This window comes from Homo sapiens, chromosome 21 (assembly GCF_000001405.40).
Source record: "Homo sapiens chromosome 21, GRCh38.p14 Primary Assembly".
Taxonomy (NCBI): Eukaryota; Metazoa; Chordata; class Mammalia; order Primates; family Hominidae; genus Homo; species Homo sapiens.
In genome coordinates this window covers 35,228,302-35,251,114 of record NC_000021.9, presented here as the reverse complement: position 1 = coordinate 35,251,114, position 22,813 = coordinate 35,228,302, and the positions used below count along the sequence as shown (strand labels likewise).

Below are 22,813 nucleotides of genomic sequence, written 5' to 3'. Positions count from 1 at the left end.
GAGGAAGGTGGAGGCTTTGATGTTCTACAGTTGCTCCCAGAGGAGTTTAAGAAGCAGCAAGATTGAGAACCACTGCCTAAGATAAGGCCCCAGCAGGTAGAACAAAGGCCATTCTTTGGTGAAAGCCTAATTTGCATCTTAGAAAGTGAACCTTTTCCCGTTAATTCAGAAGTGGGCAGTCTTGGTCTGATCAGCCTGCTGTAAAAGAATTCTGGGTAGCTTAGAAACAACACAAGATTATTTCTCACAGTTCTAGAGGCTGGGAAGTTCATGGTCAAGGCACTGGCAGATTTGATGTTGGGTGGGGCCTGGTTCCTCATCTTTTCAACGTAACCCCACATTGAAAGGGGTAGAAAGGGGGCAAGGGAGCTTTCTTGGGCAGCTTTTATAAGGGCACTAATTCCATTCATGAGGTCTCTTCCTCATGATCTAATGCCCTCCCAAATGCCCCATCTCTTAATACCATCACATTGAAGGTTAGAATTTCAATAGATGAATTTGGGGGCAGGCAGCACAAACATTGTATTAGTCCATTCTCATGCTGCTGATAAAGACATACCCAAGACTGGGTAATTTATAAAGAAAAAGAGGTTTAATGAACTTACAGTTCCACGTAACTGGGGAGGCCTCACAATCGTGATGGAAGGTGAAAGGCACATTTTACATGGTGGCAGACGAGAGAACTTGTGCAGGGAAACTCCCCTTTATAAAACCATCAGATCTTGTGAGACTTATTCACTATCTCGAGAACAGCACAGGAAAGATCCACCCCCATGATTCAATTACCTCCCACTGGGTCCCTCCCACTACACATGAGAATTACGGGAGCTACAATTAAAGATGAGATTTGGGTGGGGACACAGACAAACCCTATCAGCCATGAACCATGAAGCCTGGTGGCACTTTGAGAGAAGCTGGGATGTGGGAAATGGGAAGGGACTACAATCTTTAAATACACTCTCATACATGTACATAACTGTGGCCTCCACCTTATATATTATGGAGAAGGTGAACTTCGTCTGAAAGTTTTTAATGGCAAGAATTTCCAAGTGGCCATGTTAGCCATGGAAGTGTGCCAATATGAGGCCGATTATGCCTCTGGAGAGAAATCAGCTATGAATTCTATGCTCACATAGCCAAGTGATTTGACTGACTAGGAAAAGTCAGTTTGCAGTTTCCATTAAATGTTGAAAATTTTTTACCAGGTACAATGACTTTCTGTTTTGGCATGACTGATGCAGAACTGTTTTTTCTGGACATAGTCACCCAACAGGTTTGGCTACTCCTTAAGCATGGCTCTGGCTCCTAATACTAAAGCTGAGGCTTCAATTAACTGGAGATGTGTCTTCCTGCTGGTTATGGTATCTATCAGCTGCATCAGATTAGTTAAATATATTTTATTTGCCTAGGGCCCAGGACTTGATATTGGAACTTAATCTGTCAAAAGACAGCTCTGATCCACTGTGAATTTAGCAGTAGTATTAAAATATAGAGTTTAGGGTGACATCAGAAGACTGGGATGGTTATCAGATTTATATAAAATAATTCACTGAGTGCCCAGAGCTAACAGGAGGTGATTAATATTTATAAGAAGTCAACCATCATACTCTAATTTGTTACAGCAGCCAAGAGGTAACTAACACATAGAGTAATTATTACCTTCTTAGTGCTATAAAACTTGCTTCTTCTTCATGTTTATTGTACATTGCTGGTCTCTCCTCCGTAAAATGAAAGCTCTGTGAGGCAGATATTTCTGTTCATTTAGTCCCTGATGAATCTCAAGTGCCTGGAACAGTATCTGCATATAATGGGTACTAAAATCTTCATTGGATGAGGGATGAATGAGGTGCCTCCACCTGCCTGCAATCCCCACAAGCCTGTTTTCTCCTAAGTTGCCTATTTTGTTAACGTTATCTCCATCTTTTCATGCTCCTCAAATCTCCCCTCTCTCTTACCGTTTACATCCAGCCAGTGGCCACACCCTGTCCATACTACCTCTTAACTGTCTCTCGATTCTTCTCTCTTCTAATCATCTCAGCCTTGGTTCAGTCACTTATTTCTCTCTTGGACTGCATCAGATCCTTCATAGTTCACTGTGATCTGCACCTTCAGGTCTTGTTGCCAGGAACCACATTTTGACTTCTGTTCACCCCCAAGCCTCGTGAGTCTCCATATCATGTGGCTGTGTTTCTGTGAGACAGAGGCAGTGGAGAATCCCTGTGGCCCCACTCTGCCTGTGAGCTGTGTGCACACAGGATGCTGCCCTTACAGGCTCTGGCATCAAGGGGCTCCTGGTGCTGGTTCTAGCTCCACTGTTTACTCAGCTAGCAAGTGAGTACCGTCAGCTCTCTGAGGGCTGTTTTTTAAAAGAGATGTGAGCATCCACAGATTTGGGTTTCTGAGAGGGATCCTGGAAGCAATTACCCCACGGATACCAAGGGATGGCTATACGATGATGTTATCTAGATTAGAGGTTTGCTGTGAGGTTAAAATGAACGAATATATGTTGTGGTCAATTGATAACTAAAATGTTCCCGATTCTCTGCGCTTCCCGTGTCCCAGACCCTTTACATTGTGACTTCTTGTCTTTTTCCATCAAAAAGTAGAGCCTACTTTTCCTTGAATCTTTCCCCTTTGATTCCTATTGAATTCCCTGTGTCTTGCATTGCCCAGTAGAACGCAGTAGAAGTAATGCCTGGCCAGTTTGCAATACAAGTCATGTCCGGCCAGTTTGCAGTAGAAGTCATGCCTGGCCAGTTGGCTGCTTCCTAAGGGAAGCCTGCCAGTCTTTGTGAGAAGCCTGGGCTAGCATGCTGGAGGATGAGTGCATGTGAGTGTGACTGAGGCAGCACAACCCATAGCCAGCCAACCCCCAGACATGTGAGGGAGTCCAGGCTCAATTAGCAGAGCTGCCCACCTGAATTGAAATGGACCACAGGTACACAATTGAGCCTAGCCTCTTCCAGGAAATCCATCCCATATCCTCCACTCTAATGAGTATCAATGAGTTCTTATTGTTTCAAGCCATTAAGTTTTGGATTGTTTTGCAACCAGAGGTAACATACGTAGGGAGATTGCAAATGTTAGCTATTATTATTAATATAAGCTAAGATAAAATGTTGCCGAATCAGCAAGCACTTTCCATCCCATTCAAAGGAGACTATCACTTTGATGTTTGCATGGCACCCTGTGCATGATGCCCTCTCTCTCATCTCTATTGTTTTACTGATCAACTTGCCATTGATATTATTTGTTTGTGAGGCTGTATGTTGTAATAGTCAGTGCCACAGGATCTGGAGCCAGGCTGCGTGGGATTATATTCTGACTCCACCATTTATTAGCAAATGACCTTGGCAAGTTTTCATCTATCTGTGTTTCAGTTTTCTCATTTCTAAGACAGGGATAGCGATAATATTACCTACTTCCTGGAATCATTGCAAGAATTGATTAAATTAATGCCTAAGAAATGCCAGGTATATTCATTTAGCCCACTGAATAAGGAAGATGAAGGAGAAGAAAGGAAGAGGAATTTGTCTTGTCCCCTACAGAAAGTTGACTTCACAGGAGGGGACTTCTTTTCATCCCTGTATTCTTAGGTTTCACATAGTGTCTATCACCCGGTAGGTTTTGAAAAAGACAGCAAATATTTTATGTTTTTGGATGAATGATGATATACATTCCAGTCAGGTCCAATTTGTCAATAAAGATGTGAGCTTTTTATTATTATTATTATTATTATTATTATTATTATTACAGTTAGAGAAAACTCACTAAAGAATGGTTACTATCTTGCTAGACATTCTGTATATTTGCTATACGTAATAGATTTTTATTGCTGTTGTAAAAAATTATCACAATATTATTAGCTTAAAACAACTCAAATTTATTATTTTTCATTCTGGAATTAGAAGTCCAACACAAGTCTCACTGGACTGAAACCAAGGTGTCAACAGGACTGCTCCTTCCTGGAGGCTCTAGGGTTACATCTGGCAACTTACCTATTCCAGGTTCTACAAGCTGCCCTCATTCCTTGACTCACGATCCCCCTTCTCCATCTTCAGCCAGCAAAGTCTCGCCTCTCTGACTTTTCTTTCAGGCACATCTTCTTCTCATCACAGTGGGAAAGGTTCTCCCTTTTTAAGGGAGAACTCTGTAATACATGGAAACACTCAGATATGTTACCTACCGTATCCCTAAGATACAACTAGGCCCACCTGGATAATCTAGGATCCTCTCCTCATCTTACGGGTCTTCACTTTATCACCTATGCAAAGTCCCTTTTGCCATGCAAGGCAATATATTCATATATTTACACGTTCTGAGGATTAGGATGTGGAAATCTTTGAGGGGCAATGTATTATTCTGCTTACCACAGGAGATAATAATATTGGTCAGAGTCTCCAAGGGCAACTCTAGAATCACCAGTGAAGCAAGTGGATAAAGTTCTGAAGACTGTTTGTTCAACTACCTTGGGGCATTGTTTACATCCTTGCAGCATAAATGCAGCCCCTGGAATTGTGCAGTCAGCAGAGTTGCCAGAAATAGAAAGAGTAACTCAGAGAGGACTTCTCCAATCTTCCAAACTTCAATTTGTAGTTCTCAAAATCAGCTTTTTTCTTTTTCTTTTCTTTTTTTGTAACTCCAATTAGAATTAAAAGCTCCATTTAGCAAGTCATTCTAAGTCCTGCCTTGCTGGCAGGGAAGATGTTTAATCAGGTGCAGTCGCGAGCACCGGATCTCCATGCTCCAAGAATATTCTTTAGGATTTTCATATTTAATTGAATTTCCATTTAAAAGCATTTCGAACACTTAAAACTCTGTAATAAATGGGAACACTCAGATATGTTACCTACTGAATTTTGCTACACTTGTTATGATTTTATTCTGTGACATTCATTGGTTTGGAGCTGACCTCAGACTCAGACTGAAGTATTTCCCCTCATCTTGATTTAATGATAAAGGGTCTTGACATTTCAAGGCTGATTTTTTTTAAATGATGAAAAAAATTATCTAAATATGGCTATCTCTGCAGTGACTCAAGAATTGTTTTTTATATTGTGCAACTAAAAAACGTCACCATAAAATGAAATAAATAATAATATTAGCAAGCACACATGAGCTACTTATTACATGCCAGGTACTGTCAAAATGTTGCAAATATTTTCCTCAAGTACTAATATCATTTTGTGTAAACTTCACAGTCATCCTATAAGGAAGGTACCATTTTCCAGATCAGGCAACTGAGGTATGAGGAGGTTAAGTGGTTCCCTGAGGTCAAATTGCTGATAAATGGCAAAGACCATGAAGTTCCACTCTGTGCCTTGAACCACAACGCTGCCAAGGTTTAGTTACAATTCTGATCCCAGGATATCATATCAGCCTGTACCGCTCTCACAAAGTGACCTTGTGATAAGTAAATATTATTGTTTAGGACTGGAGGAAGGTCAGAAAGTATGCTTGTTTACTCTGCCTCATTCAGTGAGAGGCAAGAACAGAAGTCAGACCTATGGAGGTGAAAATGTAGCTTCATTCTTTACTGATGGACAAAAGCGAGATTGGAAGAGGCTGTGGAGGCTTAGATAACAATAATGGTTTCTTAATAACCCCAGAATTAGAATTACCTACTCATCAGAGAAGGCACGGGCAGCCAGGGGCAGGTCTTCCCTGTTGGACTCAGCTGATGAGAAATTAGAGCCTGAAGAATAAAGAAAGGATGAGGCCAGCCATGCCCATTCTCCAACTCTCCCAACTGATCTGGAAGCAGTGAGAAGAGACACTCAGAGCAGAGCCCAAGGGACATCTGGACATCTGTCCATGTTCAAACAAGTGGGGGGGGAAGAAGAGTCCTCCAAGCAACAATAAACTGGAACTTATTAAATACAGTGTGGTCATAAAACACCACATAGGTCTAGTAGATATCAGAGTTCTAGTATATAATATACTTCATCAGCATATGATCTATGGATAGCGTATTCTTACCATCTGCTTAGATCTGGTGTATATCAAAGTTCTAGTAACATTTTTGTTTGAAAGAAAGGAACATGGTTTCATTGCCAAACATGTTTCTTAGCCATTCCTCTGAAAAGATGCAAATAAGTTATCCTTTTTCAACATCCCTTTTCAAAATGTTCAACTTGTTGCCATTTCCAAAGGATCACTTAGAAATTTTGAGACAGGCTTGTTCTGTTCACGAAATATAACTACACTCGTTGATTTAAGGCACACTCTCTAAAGTTTTTCTACCTGTGTGCTTCCAGCCCATAGTATTTTATCTCTGTTCCAGGGCCAAGCAGTAACTGATAAATATTTATGTTCTCAATAAATATTGGAATTACAAATGACTGATGAGGAGGCTTGCCTTGTGCCAGAAAATTACGTAAGACAAAGACTGTGTTTTCCCACTCTTTGAGACTGAGCGACCAGCAGTGGTTGTGAAACTCAGCGGCCTATTAGAGTCACTCAGGCTGCTTTTTAATTAGTGAGGAAGTCTGGGGCCCAGCCCAGACTCACCTCATCCAAATCCCTGGAGGTAGGACCTATGCATCCTTTATTTTACATGCTCCTAAAAAATCACAGGAAATGAAGTAAATAAGGACAGAAGATATTAAGGAAAAATTGTTTTATAAAAAAGTTTCTATATTTAAAAGAAAAATCATCAAAATTAAAACAGTCTAAAGCAGTTATCAAAAAGCCTCTGTGCTCTTGAGGCGACAAAAGGAAACAAAAGTTACGCCCCAGGGGCTGTGCCAGAGACAGAGCCTCCTGGGTTGGTCCAGACTTGTCAGTTCCTGAGAAGGTCCAAGCTTGGGTTGTTTGCCTGCTGGAAGAGGACCCCTGTCAAGTGCAAGTCAGAAAAGGGCATCTGCAGCTGATTCCCCTGCCAGGCCACCCATTGGTGAAGCCCTATGTGAGCCAGTCATCCATGTTCCTCTCTAAAACGCCTGTCACCCACAAGCATCTATCAACAGTTATTGGATACACAGTTTTGTCCGAGGGACGGTGTGAACAAACAGCAACCTCTGTCAGTCACATGTACATCATGAAGAGAGGATTCCAGAGTGCAAGATGCTGAGTAGCAGGGATTCCAAGATGCGGTCCTGCTTCTTCCCTTCCAGAACTCAATATAGTAAATGATTCTATCGAACTGGAGGGAAAAAATATATGGGCTTGAGAAGAGACTACTTACAAAGCATGTAGTGAATTGCTGATATGACATCAAGAGAGAAAGGAATGTTTTATTAATGAAAATTTTTCCATCACTACCGTGTATAAATTACCAATTAGCAGAAAATTAGAATACAATGCAATTATTTGATGGGCATCGTTTAATTTTTTGATGAATCAGAAGGTACATGTGCTTCTAAGCCAACAGTAAGGCAGTCATCAGTGTTGCAGCAGTGAATTTCTGACAAGCTTATTTGTTATTTAGCAGATCAATCTAATTAATCTATTAAGCTAATTAACAGACTGGCAGAGTACACTTTATCAGCATATGATCTGTAGTTTGCATATTCTCACCATGTATTATTGAATATATTGCATAAAATATTTGAAAGCAATGCATCCACTAATAACGCAAGCCCTACCTGCAGTAAAGTATGATAGGGTAAGGAATGATCCTCAAATGAACCGAGCAAATACTGGGAGGAGATGGAGAAGGAAGAGGGAAGTTTACAGATTCACAGGGGAACATTCTCCTGATACTGATCTTATTTTCTATGTCCCAAATGCCAGTCTTTTAATGACTCACTCGTCCCCTGAGCAAACCAAGAACAAGTTTTTTGGGTTAGATGATTGGCACATTGGGGATGAGCCTGCTGACAATATGTAGAAAGACGGAAAGTGTCCTCAGATTTGGGGGACATTATTTGTTACTCACATGAGTGTAAAGGTTTGACACATCTTCCCCCATTCCAAAGTAAAACAGCCAAAACCTTTTGTATCAATGGGGTGGAAATACACCCTGAGTCAGATAATCATGGTGTGTTGTTGTAACAAGTAGCACACCCAGGCTAAACCTGGTAAGATGGGGGTTACCCACAGGTTTTTGCCTGATCTGGGAACTAGAATTGATATTCCTCAAACTGGAAATAACTTTACTGTTTTTTCAGGGAGTAAAAATGATAGTATGACTTATAAAATCCCAAATGATATATAAATATATAGAGAAAAAAATTTCCTGACACATTGTTACTTAGAGATGAGTGCTGTTTAAAATGTGGTAAATATCTGTGCAGACGCTTCTCTGCACATCTGTAATTTTATATAAGTGGACTCATTCGTTTATTAACTCACTCTGTTACTTTAAAATATTATGGTTATGTTTCTATGTCAATGTGTACATGTTTTTGCCATAATTTTTTATAACTTCCTAGGATTTCATTTTCTGGCTATACCAAACTTTTAACTATTCCTCAAATAAGTTTAACACTTATTGTCAATTTCTCAATGTTATTAACAATGTTTCAGTGACCATTCTTATATATATGTTATATCTTTGTGATGTATCAGCTTTTGACTTTAGTATCAATTCTTACAAGTGGAATTGCTGGGCCAAGGCCATATACATTTTTAAGGCTTTGGTTCCTATTGTCACTTGCCCTCCTCCAGAAAGGTCATCCCAATTTACTCTTCCACCAGCTGTATTTGACGAAATCGAAAACATTATTTCTAATAATTAGGCAGAGTCCACCTTACTCGGGTACTATCTTAATAAACTGTGAAGCATTGGTTAATACCAGTCTTTATGAAATAACAAAATGTTTGGTTGAGAATGGCTGAATTTGAACTCTGGGATGAGGTCTGCATATCCCTCAGCATATCTGAGGAGCATAAAGGCCCAGGGGTCAGGTTCCAATGTGTCCTCACTGAGAAGCCGAGCTTCTCTCTATCAGTCTGGCCGAGAGAAGAGCTTCAGGTCACCTTGGATCCCTCTCGTGGTTCCACTTGGTTCTTGCCTTCTCCATCCTGAGGTACCAGTTCTTGACCCTGGTCCGTATTTCTGGTCCCGTGTGGTTCCCATCTTTCTGTGTGAACCACAGGAGAGCCTCTGTATCCCGCATCTCTGTCTCGCTAGGCTGAACTCTCCTTGCTGATCTTTGGCATCTGCTGTCTTTATGAGACAAGATAACTTGGAGAATTTCTAAAGCTGTGTTGATTGAAAAAGATTTGTTGTGAGAAGTTCCATACAGACATAGATCTACCATGTCCTGTAAGTGTCCACCAAGCGTGTAAATTAGGATACCGTTTATGAGACACCCCTCACACCTACATTTCACTCCAGCCGTGCATTGCAACCACCATCTTCCCATCTGTAACCTCATAGCCTCCTGCCTGAGCTGCACTGGCTAGCTTGTGCTTTCTGGATTTCACTCAATAATGTACCTTTGGATGGAAGTTCCATCCTTCCATTTGCCTCTGTCCAGTCTCCCACTCCTGTTCTTTGGGGATATTTTCCCAAAATAAACTATATGCAAGCCCTTGTCTCAAGCTTTACTTTTTGGTAGAACCAAGGCTAAAATACTGCCCAACGTGAAACCTTGCGATAAAAGAAGTGGCTTTCATTAGTAGCAAACACTTTCTTCTGAACTAACTATTCGATGTTAGATGTGCCAAGGAGCTCTTCTTAAAACAAAACGTTAGCATTAACTTGCCATAAAGATGGCAGGTGTTCTAGAGTTAAGATCTTAAGGCTGCTATTGAGAAAGCCAATGGTAAAATTGAACCAATAGTTATAATTCAATTTTGAGAAAATAGAGGGAGAATAATACATCCAAAAATTATTTCAGTGTCCTTATACCAAATAAGTTCCTGTCCTAAAATATTCAATAAAAGCCCTCATCACCTATGCATATATATGGATAATTTTTAAGCAGTTGCCTTGGCTAAATAAATTTGAATCCTTCATTTAAATATAAAAATAAATTTATATTTAATATTCATTAAATATAAATATCATTTCAGAGAGTAAAATTTTATTAAAATATTTTTGTTTATAGTCTTTTTTTAAGACACTTTACAAGAAACAGATTTTTTTAAAGACAAAGATACACAGTTTTGAATTTAAAAGGCTCCACAATAAACACTCATAATGCAAACGAAAATATTTTCCCCAAATATTTTCCCTGTGCTAGTCTAAAAAAATGCTTTCCACAAACTAAACATAGCCTAAGTTTCTATGATGAATTTTACTAATCCTAATATTGAAAGAATAAGAAAAGAGGTAAGCCAATGTACTCGTGACAATCTTTGTTCTGCTCTATGATCAGTTTTTGAAATCCTAATTCAAACTGGAACTCCAGATAATAGTTATGAACTCCAGATTAATTCCACCCCCCCACCACAGTTTTACTGTCACTTTTTTAATACTTGCGAACTCTAATCCATATTAGATACTTATAAACTCTTTAATCAAAAATCTTTCTAGAAATATCCAGAATAAGCAAATCCATAGAGTCAAAAAGTAGACGAATGGTTACCAGTGGCTGGGAGGGGGGAATGGGTGACTGCTAATGGGTCCACGGTTTTGGGGTGATGAAAGCATTCTGAAATTAAACAGTGGTGATGGTTGCACAACTTTGTAAATATGCTAGAACCACTAAATTGTACATTTTATAATGGTGAATTTATTACATATGACTTATATCTCAATTTTTAAAAGCCTTTAAAAAAAAAAAAAAAAAAAACCTTTCTAAAACCACTTAATTTTTTTTCCCCTGGGAAAATATTTATAACCACTTGTGCTCACCCTTTTTCTTTTGCTTTTTCTGCTAGAGAAAGGAAGGACCACCAGGAACCCCCCACCTGACCTCCTGACAGTCTCAGTCAATTCCGGCCCTTTGCCATGTCATATTGCAGGAGGACAGAGCATCCCTTTGGCCCCCAGGCTGAAGTTTAACCCCTATGATCCCACCCAGTTGGACACCTCTATGGTACACTGCACATTTTATCCATTTGACTATCAGGAAGCTTGACCGCATTATTCCCTTGATCAGGACTGTCGATTTCATGCTGTCATCAACGGTAGGGCAGCAAAGAGGACAGCTGTAACAATCACCAGGACCTAATCCCTCCCACGAGCCGCTGAGCACCAGAGGCACACGTTAATATTCAGTAGAAGAGTCATGGAGGCTTGGCTTTTTATTCACAAGGAAAAAAACAATCCCTATTGGCAGCTGAAGAGACAGCCCCTCTGGGGACCAATTATTCTATTTTGTGCTGTACATACTGCAGCAGGCTGCTGCCAGCCCCCCTGGGAGCCGCTCCGCTGGGTTTCCCTAACGGAGGCCAGGCTGGTGCTCTAGACACAAGTTGTTCTTCATGTCAAAACTCCTGCTAATGACACAATTAAGTAACTGGGGACCACGGAGAAGCTCTTAATTAGGTAAATACTGCTCTCTGGGAAATGATTGCCCAGTTTTAGGCAAGTCATTGCTGTCAGATTGCTAGAAGATGCATGCTCTGTGGACAAATGAAGCAGCATTTTAAGATCCCGATTTCTCTCTGATTCTTTCTTTTTATTTCGTAGTGGAGAATACTTACCATTTTTTTAAGAAATAGTGCAGGTTGCTCTATTTTAAGAATTTATGTCCTTTAGGTTTGCAAAAGGAAAGGGATCACATAGGGAGGAAAGGATGGCTAAATATTCTCTCAGGTACAGAACACTTTGATTGCGTATGACCATGTTTTGGAAATCTCTCAACAACTGATGTCATCTTACATTGGCCAAATTAAATTTACACATGCTTGGATTAATTTTTTGTTCAGAACCTCCCTGCCCTTCTTGCATTTCAATATGAATCATACATTTCAATATTGTTTTCCTATTCTTCATTCAGATTATTTTTTAAATCAGGTTATATTTAAGGGCTGTTGGAGATATGCTGCAAACATGATTTCTGCCATCTATGAGCTATGTTTTTATGAGCTCCATTTTAGCCAGGAGGCTGGAAAAGTCACATCCCACTGGCAGATTTGAGCAGGGAGGGGAGGTCATACATGATTTTGCAAAGTAGTTCTTACTTGCATTTCTTTTAGTTCACATTGTTTGGGTTTGGGTGTTTTTTAAATATATTTTTAATATGGAAACCATTTGTCTCAGTTTAGGGAACTGAGTACATGCTTTCTGAGAACTCCTCTGCTTGTCAATGATGTTTCCTTTGATAAAGAAACTTGGAAGTTTCGTTAATTCACCTTTTTGTATTACAAAATGACAAGCTGAAGAAGTTTCTCCCAATTACATATTGATCTAATTATTTATTATGAATATCTATTGTGGCATAATAATATTTATAGGAACAGCAGGCATGTCCATTGTTATCATTCTTTATATTTTTGATTTATGCTTATGTAAGATTAGCTGAATCTATGCTAAAATTGAAATTCATTTGATCATATCAATCATGGGAAAAAGTCAGCACAATTCGATTGCTTGTGGATTGGGAAATTCAGTGGTGAAGACCACATTCAGTGGTGAAGACATCTGATTGGCCACTTCACCATGGTTCTCATTGTGTAGTTTTCAATTGCATGCAGTTACTCATTCTTAGTACTCATTCTTTGCTACTTTTATTAACCTGAGTTGCTACCTATTCAGTTAAGATCACTGGTGGGAGACAGAAAGAGGAGTCTGCCTTCTCTTTGCTTTGCACTGGTCTATGCACCTTGCTCCATTTCCTTTCTTATTGTCCCTGCTCTCTGGCCACTTCCTACGACCATCTGCCCCATCATCTCTGCTCCTCTTCTCTACTTCTTCTGATGGTCTCTACTCTCTCATCTTTTCTACTTCCCTTCTGACTCAACTGATACCCATCTACTTTCACAGGTAGTCCACCAGCTCCCCTCCACCCCTGCTGTTCATGCCCTTTGTCTCCAATGAGGCCTTCAAAATCTTCCCCCTTCCTGCTTCACTTCGTTTTCCCACTTGATACTCCTAAGCCCTGCCCAGCTGAAATTCCTTGGTCAAACATTTCAGCTGTGCTCTCCCACTCACTGGGGACCCTCAAGGCCCCTATGACCTACTCTTAGGCCTGCTGAGCCAACCACAACCCCAGATTACTCTCAAAGTCTGCTTTTCGGTTCTTGATTTTAGACTTTGGAGAGTCACTGAAGAAAGTCTTGGACATGGGCAGACCTGATCCATGTGTGGAGCAACTTCAGTTTTAATCCATAAATCTTTCATTCCTTTAGGCTGTAGAGCCTAAAACACTCCCTACAGAAGTTGTATAATGCCTTCTCCCTCCTGAAATATACAATCTTAATACTGCCTCTTGACTTTTGTTTAGCAACTGTTTTTTGATCATCTCCTTCCTACTCTGAATGGTAGCTAAATGCTGAAGATGTAAGGGTAAAGAAAGCAGGTGCTGCACCTCCCTGCAAAGAGTTTATCACCTATTGGTTATTGTTAGAAGGTTGGGTGGAGGACAGATAAGTAAATAGAAGATCATGAAACAGTGCCATGAAAGAGCACAAAGAAGGAGAAGAAACATGAAACTTTGGGCCAGGAAAAGCTTTGGCAGGTCATTCACCTTCTTCATTTGCTGAAATCAACGACATTCAGTATGAACTTCTTTAGCTAACTTCCTCTGAACATGCAAGAATTTTGGTCTCTTTGATTCTGTCTTTAATCTCATTTCAGCCTCAGAGGAAATGCTGTCATTCTCCACCAGAAGTCTACTCTTCCATCTGCTCTGTTGATGCCATTCTCTCCAGCCTAGTCAGAAACACCATCACCTAATTCAGTGGTCCCCAACCTTTTTGGCACCAGGGACCAGTTTTGTGGAAGACAATTTTTCCGTGGACCAGGGGGGTTGGGGGAGATAGTTTCAGAGGCATTAGATTCTCATACGGAGTGCACAACCTGGATCCCTCACATGCACAATTCACAATAGGATTCGCGATCCTATGAGAATTGAATGCTGCCATTGATCTGACAGAAGGCAGAATTCAGGCAGTAATGCTCGCTTGTCCCCTGCTCACCTCCTGCAGTATGGCCTGGTTCTGGTCCATGGCCCAGGGGTTGGGGACCCTTGACCTAAATCATCACTCTTTATAGAATGTTACATCTCTCTTTTCCCAGGGGCATCTTTCCCTTTGCCTTCAAAACTGCACACCTTCATCTGAATAATGATTAAACTCTGCTGCTCACCATTAAAATGGGCTGATTGCTCCAAGCAGTATCTAGAAAGAAACTGTTTCTAGTTCTTCACCCCTAATCATTTTTCTAGATTTTTGCAAAGAATAATCATTAAATATTTCATATGTATAAAAAAATAAAGAATAGTTTATATAGTATACTTTATGTCAGAGTTTGTTTCCTGTTGTTATAATAGAACACCTGGGCTGGGTGTGGTGGCTCACACCCGTAATCCCAACACTTTGGGAGCCCGAGGCAGGCAGATCACCTGAGGTCAGGAGTTTGAGACCAGCCTGGCCAACATGGTGGAACCCTGCCTCTACTAAAAATACAAAAAAAAAAAAAACACACACACACACACACACAGAAAAACAATTAGCCAGGTGTGGAGACGGGCACCTGTAATCCCGTCAGAGGCTGAGGCAGGAGAATTGCTTGAACCTGGGAGGCAGAGGTTGCATTCAACAGAGATTGTGCCATTGCACTCCAGCCTGGGCAACAAGAGCAAGACTCTGTCTCAAGAAACAAAACAAAACAAAACAAAACAAAAACACTTGACACTGGGTAGTTTATAAAGAAGATAGGTTTATTTGGCTCATGATTCTGGAGGCTGAGAAGTCCAAGAAGCATAGCACTGACATCTGCTTGGCTTTGGTGAGGACCTCAAGCTGAATCAAAACATAACAGAGAAGAGGAAGGGGAAGTGGGAGCATGCAAAGGGCATGAGAGGCAGCCTCACTTTGTAGCAACCTGTTCTCAGGCAACTAGTCCATTCTCAAGAAAACTAACCCAGTCTCTTGAGAAAGACAGTCTATCTTTTCGACCTAATCACCTCTTAAAGGTACCACCTTCCAACACTGTTACATTGGCAATTAAATTTCCACATGAGTTTTGTGAAGGATAAACTACATCTAAGCCATAGCACTCTGTTAATTGATTAACTGAATTCATTCACTCACTCATTCATTCATTCAAAGGTGTAATAAAGATTCTTGTGCTTACTACTCAATAAAGTATTAGAAATCAAACATTATTCGATCAATTGTGGCTCTCAATATCATTCTCCTCCTTGCCACATGGAAAGAACAACTCTCTTGATTTGGTGTTTCTCATTCCTATGCATTGCCTTATACATTTGCTACATACTTATTCTAAAACACAACTTATTATGAAACTTCAAATAAATGGGACTATGCCTATATAGCCTTCTGCAAATTATTTTTATGTAATATTTTGTATCTTGAGATATACCCATGTCGATAGGTATATTTTTCTCCTGAATTGCATTCCATTGTTTTTTGTGTATCTACTCATGCACACAAACACATACATACATACAAGGGTCCCATTTATAATCCATTCTCCTGGGGTTATAAATTTAGATATTGTAAAACAATGTGTGCAGTTTCTTTTTTCCATGAATATTCTTGTTTGTTCTTTCTTATGAACACATGTGAGAGCTACTTCAGGGTAGAGATATGGAGTGGAATTGCTGGGTCGCTTGAACAAATAAATGTGAACAACACTGTGATTGCCACCTTGGTCTACAGAACCGCCTTGGAAATACAGAGCCCACTTGGTGGCTGTAAAATAAAAAATAAAGCGGGAGGAGATAATATGTCATGATGGTATAATTATGGTGGGAAACAAAACACAAATCTTAATTTCAAATCTGTGTAGTAATCGTTATACCCAGCTTCCATTGGCATATTGAAAGACATTGAAATCCAAAAGCTAGATTTCAAGATTTGGCTTCCAACTAAGGTATTTTAAATTAGAAAACATGGTTTGTGCATCAGATTTTTTTAAGTACCTTTGCCCATCTCTCTGTTCTTTTTATTTTAAAAACCAGTGAACTCTTTTCTTGTTAACCTACCCAGCACAAGCTTGGCAAAATAATTCCAGAGGACATGTGTTACTCTCATGATTGGGGTCCAAATTAGTCTAAATTAACCTGCCGTGGCAGTCTGCAAATTCCTTTCCCTACCCTGAGCAGTTTTTTTCCTCTGCTCAACTATGGTAACTAACAACTGTGCAATGGTTCTGAAACCAAAACCACAATTGCAGTACTTATATTTAGACCATTGCCTTGTGTTGCCAATTTAGAAAAGATGTGGTTAAACCAACAGTCGCTTCGACTGCTGGCATTTCTCATGTTTTAAATTAAAAATAAGTCGATTCTTCTTCTATAACAAAATTAATTTGCCATTGACACACGAGTTAAATGACACATTCATCAAGATACTTCTCACCAATATAACAAACTGAGCATCTTACCCTAAAAGCCTCATGGGAGAGTAATTTGCCAATATTTAGTACTTATTCTGTTTCAGTGATTCCAGCAAATATAAAAAAAACTATTTTAAAGTTTTACAAAAATTTGCTGATGGTGAGATTAATTATATAACTGGCATTAATATTTGACAGTTTTCATATGTTCTGAAGACACTCTAACCAAAGGAGAAAAGTCAAAACACGTTGAGATGCCTAGTGGAAATGAGATTTCCTGTGAAAAATAAATAGCACTGATTTATTTTTGTCTTGCCTATCAGTATGTATTAATGGACACAGGAAGGTATCGGGGGAAATGTTGAGACATCCATAAACAAAGATGTGAAGACTTTTCTATCTAGAACCTTCTGAAGAATGGATAGATGTGTTGCTGTTATTCCCACCACAGTACACAAAAACGTTGGAAATGTACCTTTTCCTTAGAATTGTTCTGGATAAATTTTTCAGAAGAAGCCTACAATCTGTGGAGACACACAATCTCTCGCATGTCATAAGCCATATTATAAGTTTAATGTCCTATGGATTTAATAGAGACAATCTATGTATTAGCCAGTTGGTGACAGAAAATAATAGCAATTGATTTGCAGCAAGAAGAAGGAGGTATTTTTAGAAGAAACTTTTCTCTGTGTTAAGAAATACAGCCAAGCAGTTGAGAAAAGATTTTTAATAAAGATCTGTTGAAGTCACTTTGCGTGTGAGTGGCCTCTTGATTCTTATCTGATTATTAGGGCTAAATGCACAGTCCCTCATGTCAATGCAGGCAATTATGAAACAAAACCAAAGTTTCATTCATCAGCATTGCGTTCTGGCCACCAATGTCATTTCTTCTTTTTGTGACATGGAAGTCATACATTAATTTTATGCCCTCTTTAGCTGGTTTTCGTTCTTTCCATGGTGGTAGATGATATAACTAGTTACATGTCTTGAATAATTAGGAGCAGGTATAACATAATCTACTGAAGACCTTTTCCACATCCTATATTATCAATAAAAATGATTAAATTGGGCCTATAAAATGATAGGGTATATATCCACATTACTTTGTTTTTTGTTTGCTTGTTTTACTTATAAAAGGTAGGTGACACCGAAGTCAGATATTTGTATGTATTCTCAGCAGCAAATTTTCCTCCAAAGCTTTAGATAATAGGAATGTATTTTGAAAAAGGCTGCAACTGAATGATTGAAAATAAGAAAGGATAAATAAATTGGACAAAAAAATAAATCTGGTTAAATAATACTTTAGTTTCAGTGGAAGACAAAAGCAATAAGGGATTGAATTTACAGGATATAAACTAATTAGGAGAGGTTTTGCTTGTAGATGGAATTATTGAAAAAGACTTAGCTTCCTTTAATGAAAATCATCATCATCATTTTTAAGAGATTACAGGCTATGGAAAGATTGACAGTTAAACAAAGTGTATTAATGTGAATAAATAGGTCACTCACTGACCATCACTGAGCCACTCTGAGCAGCAATACTTTATAAACCAATATCTTAAATAGACCTGTATTGGTTAAAAAAAGTATTTAGTTAGAATGATTAACAACCAGATATTAATGATTCAATAGATGTCATTCTTATTATTGCCAGAGAAGGGTCTAAGCTCTATCTTAGGAATCAACAACCTTTGAAGTGGTCTTTTTCTTCCAGGCTTAAAACCATTGCCTTGACCTGGTTGGGCCATTGGCGAGAATGCCATGAAAACCTTAGATGTGCCGGATCCCTGACACCAATGTCCTGACCACTTCCTAACTCAGAAAATTACATTCTGATTATCGATGCTCTCTTCTCGTGGCTGTATTTTTACAAGATTAATGACGCTGGTTGGAATCTCATTTCCCCTTAGAATTAATGCTGCAAAATTAATGAGCCACCTGGTCACGTTTCAAAGGGTAAATAAATGACCATTCTTCTTATGGGTCAGGGTCAGGGATGACTCCTCTGTGACTCACAAGCCAGGAATGAACACAAGTGATTAGACTCGTGGGCCGAGAAGCCAACGGCAGTCATGAGGGTGCCCGGCAAGAGTAGTTGAAGAAGGAGCTTATCATCGTTCTCCAATCTAGTCAATAGTCTGGGTTTTCCAGGACTCTTTAGAGTTAAAGTTGCTAAGAAAAGGCAGCACACATAGCTCTGTGAGCCTCCTTGCTTTCTCAGGGTGTATGCTCTTGTGTGCATGTACACACATAAATACACACACACACACACACACATACACACACACACACAATATACATTCCATTCATGCAGGAGGTGTATTTTCCAAACTTAGCATAAGACCTAGCACCTGCTATGTGTTCAATATATGTTTGAGGAAAGAGTGGAAAAGGGAAGGAGAGAAGGAAGGGGGGAGGTAAGAACAGAGAAAGAGGAAAAAAAGGACAATTTTCTCACTGAAAAGCTTGTGAGGACTTGACCTTAAAAATCAAAACAAGGATGCAAGGTTTTCAAATCCTAATACTGTTGCAGGTTATTGTTCTCAACCCCGGGATCATCCAAAAGTGACAAAATTCCTAAGAGACGTTTTGGTGCCCTGAATGAAGTTCCCTGAGAGATTGCATCCAGAAATCTATATTTTTATGAAGTTCTCAGGTGAATGTAGCATTTCTCTTTGGGAACTGTGGGAACCTTTTGCTGAATTCATACCTGACTTAACCTATATTGTTGGTGCCCCATTTTTAATTTGCTCTTCAATTGGGACAGAGATTTCAAAAGGTAGAAAATGCCACAGAGACTATTGTTATACAGCTTTGCAAATGGAAGTCTAGAGATGCAAAAGCAATGTGATAAACCTCAAACAACACGGTCTAGCCTAGGACCCTTGCTTTCCCATAGTGGTCCTGAGATTTGTCAACAATGCTATATCATGTGCCCAAGCATATTTTCCAGGCTCAAGGTTGCATTCAGAACAGTTCAGTTTCTCTTAACTTGTCGGGAGACAACAGTGCCTCGTACTTAAAGGTGATGGCCCCAGAGTCAGCTGGCCCATGTTTGAATCCTGCCTCCACATTTAAATCCAATAGCTATTAACGTCTTGAGCAAATGCTTAACCCTGTGCCTGGGTTTTCTCACTTGTAAAATGGGCTACAAGTGTGATACTTGTACAATGAGAGAGAAGGAGGTAGAATCTGTCTCACAATACAGATTCATCAGTTACTATATTAAGTAAGTACTTAGTAGAGTCTTCAAAATGGAGCTATTCTTATATATCTAATTTCTTATATATTTTACTATGTATAGAATATCTTATATTTGTATATTTCTTAAATTCGGTATTTCTTAGCAACTTCAGCACAAAACTTGCAGACTGTGATGACTCATTTGGCACTGAGATGAATACAGGTCACACCTGGACAGCAGAGCTGCAGATGGAGCTGGCTGGCTGTCTATAGCCTTCTTCTCAGTCCTTAAACTTCCTGGTGAACAAGAATCACCCAGAGAGCTTGTTAAATATGCACACCGCTAGGCCTCATTCTCTGGAGCATCTCATTCAATGTATCTAGGGTGGGGCCCATCATCTGCTTTTTGAAGCAGGGCCCTGATTACACACACCATGGGCCAGGCTTTGAGACATGGCTTTATCCCACATAGAACCAAGTCTGCGTCCTTTCATCATGCTGCCTTCATCTCTCTGACAGCATGTGGGTGGAACATCAGGGACCAAGTCAGAGGTCTCTTGCAAGATTTGCAGGTCCTAAAGGCAACCACACCTGCCTCTGACCTTCCAGTGCAGAGCCTGACTTGTCTGCACAGGGCCCCTTCTTGATTGACCTGGAGGCATGTTCTCTTGTGGCAGAGTCTAGACTGAGAAGGCCGCTATCCTCATACCATTAATATATCTCTCTGGATTGAAAGCAAATGATCAGGGGAGATTGGAAAGCCTTTCCTTCTGATTTTCCCCCTCCCTTCCCCCTGGTGCAATCCCGACAATTATCTGGAGTCTCATGCACAGGCTTGGAGTTGAAGAACCCACACCAAGTTCTCCATATGTTTCGCATGGGGAGAAGGGAGGTTGCTCTTTGTGCACGTTCATCCTGGCTGGTGCACAAGCATACACACACACTCGCATCCTCATGGGCATCACGGCAGTTCTCAGGAGCATTTCCTCCCAACAGGAAGCACACTGACTGACTTCCTCCATGTGGAAGGACTGTCCTCCTCTGAAACCTCTGTGACACTCTGTCATGGCACATTTCTCATGACACTTGGCCCTTATTCCTCATGCAGTCATTCTTTAAGGATCATTTACATTTGGAGGTATAATGCAGTTGACACTCCCTCTTCTATGTGACAAATTACTTTTTTTTTTTTTTTTGAGACAGAGTCTCACTCTGTCGCCAAGGCTGGAGTGCAGTGGCACCTTGTTGGCTCACTGCAACCTTTGTCTCCTGGGTTCAAGCAATTCTCCTGCCTCAGCCTCCCGAGTAGCTGGGATTACAGGTGCCCACCACCTTGCCCAGCTAGTTTTTATATTTTTAGTAGAGACGAGGTTTCACCATGTTGGCCAGGCTGGTCTCAAACCCCTGACCTCAGGTGATCCACCCACCTCTGCCTCCCAAAGTGCTGGGATTATAGGTGTGAGCCACCATGCCTGGCCACAAATTACTTTTAGCAGTACTCATATAATAATTGTGATCTACAACATTAATTTCAATTTTTAAAATACCACTTAAATTCTGTACCTACACCATGTGGGAACTAATATTTGCGCCTACCAAGCAAAATTATCACGCCTTGTAGTTTACACTCGGTTTCATTATTTTAAGTTTTCAGTTTCATTGTTTTAACTTTTAAACATTAAAAATCCAAAGGGACACATAGAACAAAAAAATATGTAATTCAAGCTCGATTTTTTGGACTTTATAATCAGAGTGTTATCATCAACTATTTTGAATCCGCCCTTTAAATCCAAGAATGTTATATGGGTTGGAGATAAGAATAGACCTCAATTAGTGACAAACTTAGACTCTCAAAACAAATACATGCAGCTGAGTCCTTAGGGAACACTATATAACTGGAGTTCTGGAATTAACTTCCCTGTAGAACCAAATGTTTATTAAAGGACAGCTAATAAAGATGTGCTAATTGAAGTTGACATAGATATTATTATCGAAACTCAACAGTAATTGCAGCAGTTATTTATAACTCAGACCAGAGGTCAGCAAACATTTTCTGTTAAGGACTAGATAGTAAATAGTTTATTCTCTGTGGCCATCTGGCCTCTGTCACGACTACTCAACTTTGCCGTTGTAGCATGAAAGAAAGCTGCCATAGATAATAAATATGTAAATGAATAAGAGTGACTGGTTCCAATAAAACTTTATCACAGAAACAGACAGCCAGCTGCACTGAGCCAAGCCCTAACTTTTTTGGAGAAGCATTTTATCACAGATATTGTTTAGAATTACTGGCTTTTTGTCAGTTTTGTTATTGTTTTTAAATTCTCTACAGAAAACGCACCTCCTACTGCCAAAGCTGGAATGTCACCCACTGTCTGCTCTTGATACTCTATTATCTACTTCTCACTGTGGCATGGGCTCCTGAAGGCAGGCTTGATGTCCAATGCATCTTGGTGGCCCCAGGTCCTACCAGAGGCCCTTGAACATTGGGTGTGCTTAATGGACATTTCTGAAATACATGAACCCAAATGTACCTTAGATTTAAATCAAGTTTTGCATTTGCTAATTACTTTCATATAACTTACTCAATGTACTGCTAGCAGGCTTCTAAAAAAATAATGTATTATGTATACAGTAAACATATCATCTTCACACCACTAAACAACCATCTCCTAATTTCTCAAAGAAAACATATTTATATAAGTAAATGGTATGTAAATTATCATTTATTTGTATAAATAGTATTTGTTGTATACTCTTTATTTATATTTAGTGTTTAATAATAAATGTTACTTAGTAATTAGTATTATTATTATTTAGTAATAAATATCAAATATAAATAAATAGTATATAACAAATACTACTTACATAAGTAGTAATTAAATAAATACATATTTTAAACAACTACTTATATATTTTTAAATAATTAAATATTTATATAAATACTTAGTATTGAAATAATATATAAGATATATATTTTTATTTAGTAACTAAATATTTACATATTTTAAGTAACTAAATGCTTATATAAATACTTAGTATTTATTTAATATATATTTATATACTATATATTATGCCTTTTTCTTTTCTTTTTTTTTTTTTGAGATGGAGTTTCTCTCTTATTGCCCAGGCTGGAGTGCAATGGTGTGATCTCAGCTCACCACAACCTCTGCCTCCTGGGTTCAAGCGATTCTCCTGCCTCAGCCTCCCGAGTAGCTGCGATTACAGGCATATGCCACCATGCCTGGCTAATTTTGTGTTTTTAGT

At 39.4% G+C, this 22,813-nt stretch overlaps 3 annotated features.

Annotated features, from left to right (window-relative positions):
* Nucleotides 14,551–17,176: an enhancer, noted in NCBI's record as "2.6 kb enhancer 4 fragment used in the pGL3RUNX1P1E4 construct". NCBI's record gives its function as "activates the RUNX1 P1 promoter in transfected DG75 lymphoma cells in an EBNA2- and RBP-J-dependent manner" and the evidence as "EXISTENCE:reporter gene assay evidence [ECO:0000049][PMID:26883634]".
* Nucleotides 17,859–19,058: an enhancer, noted in NCBI's record as "BRD4-independent group 4 enhancer chr21:36604354-36605553 (GRCh37/hg19 assembly coordinates)". NCBI's record gives its function as "activates an origin of replication core promoter dependent on BRD2, P300/CBP, MED14 and CDK7 cofactors, and independent of BRD4, by STARR-seq in HCT116 cells {active_cell/tissue: HCT116}" and the evidence as "EXISTENCE:reporter gene assay evidence [ECO:0000049][PMID:35650434]".
* Nucleotides 18,289–18,583: an enhancer, noted in NCBI's record as "tiled region #6677; HepG2 Activating non-DNase unmatched - State 24:Quies". NCBI's record gives its function as "activates a minimal TATA promoter and a strong SV40 promoter by Sharpr-MPRA in HepG2 cells {active_cell/tissue: HepG2}" and the evidence as "EXISTENCE:reporter gene assay evidence [ECO:0000049][PMID:27701403]".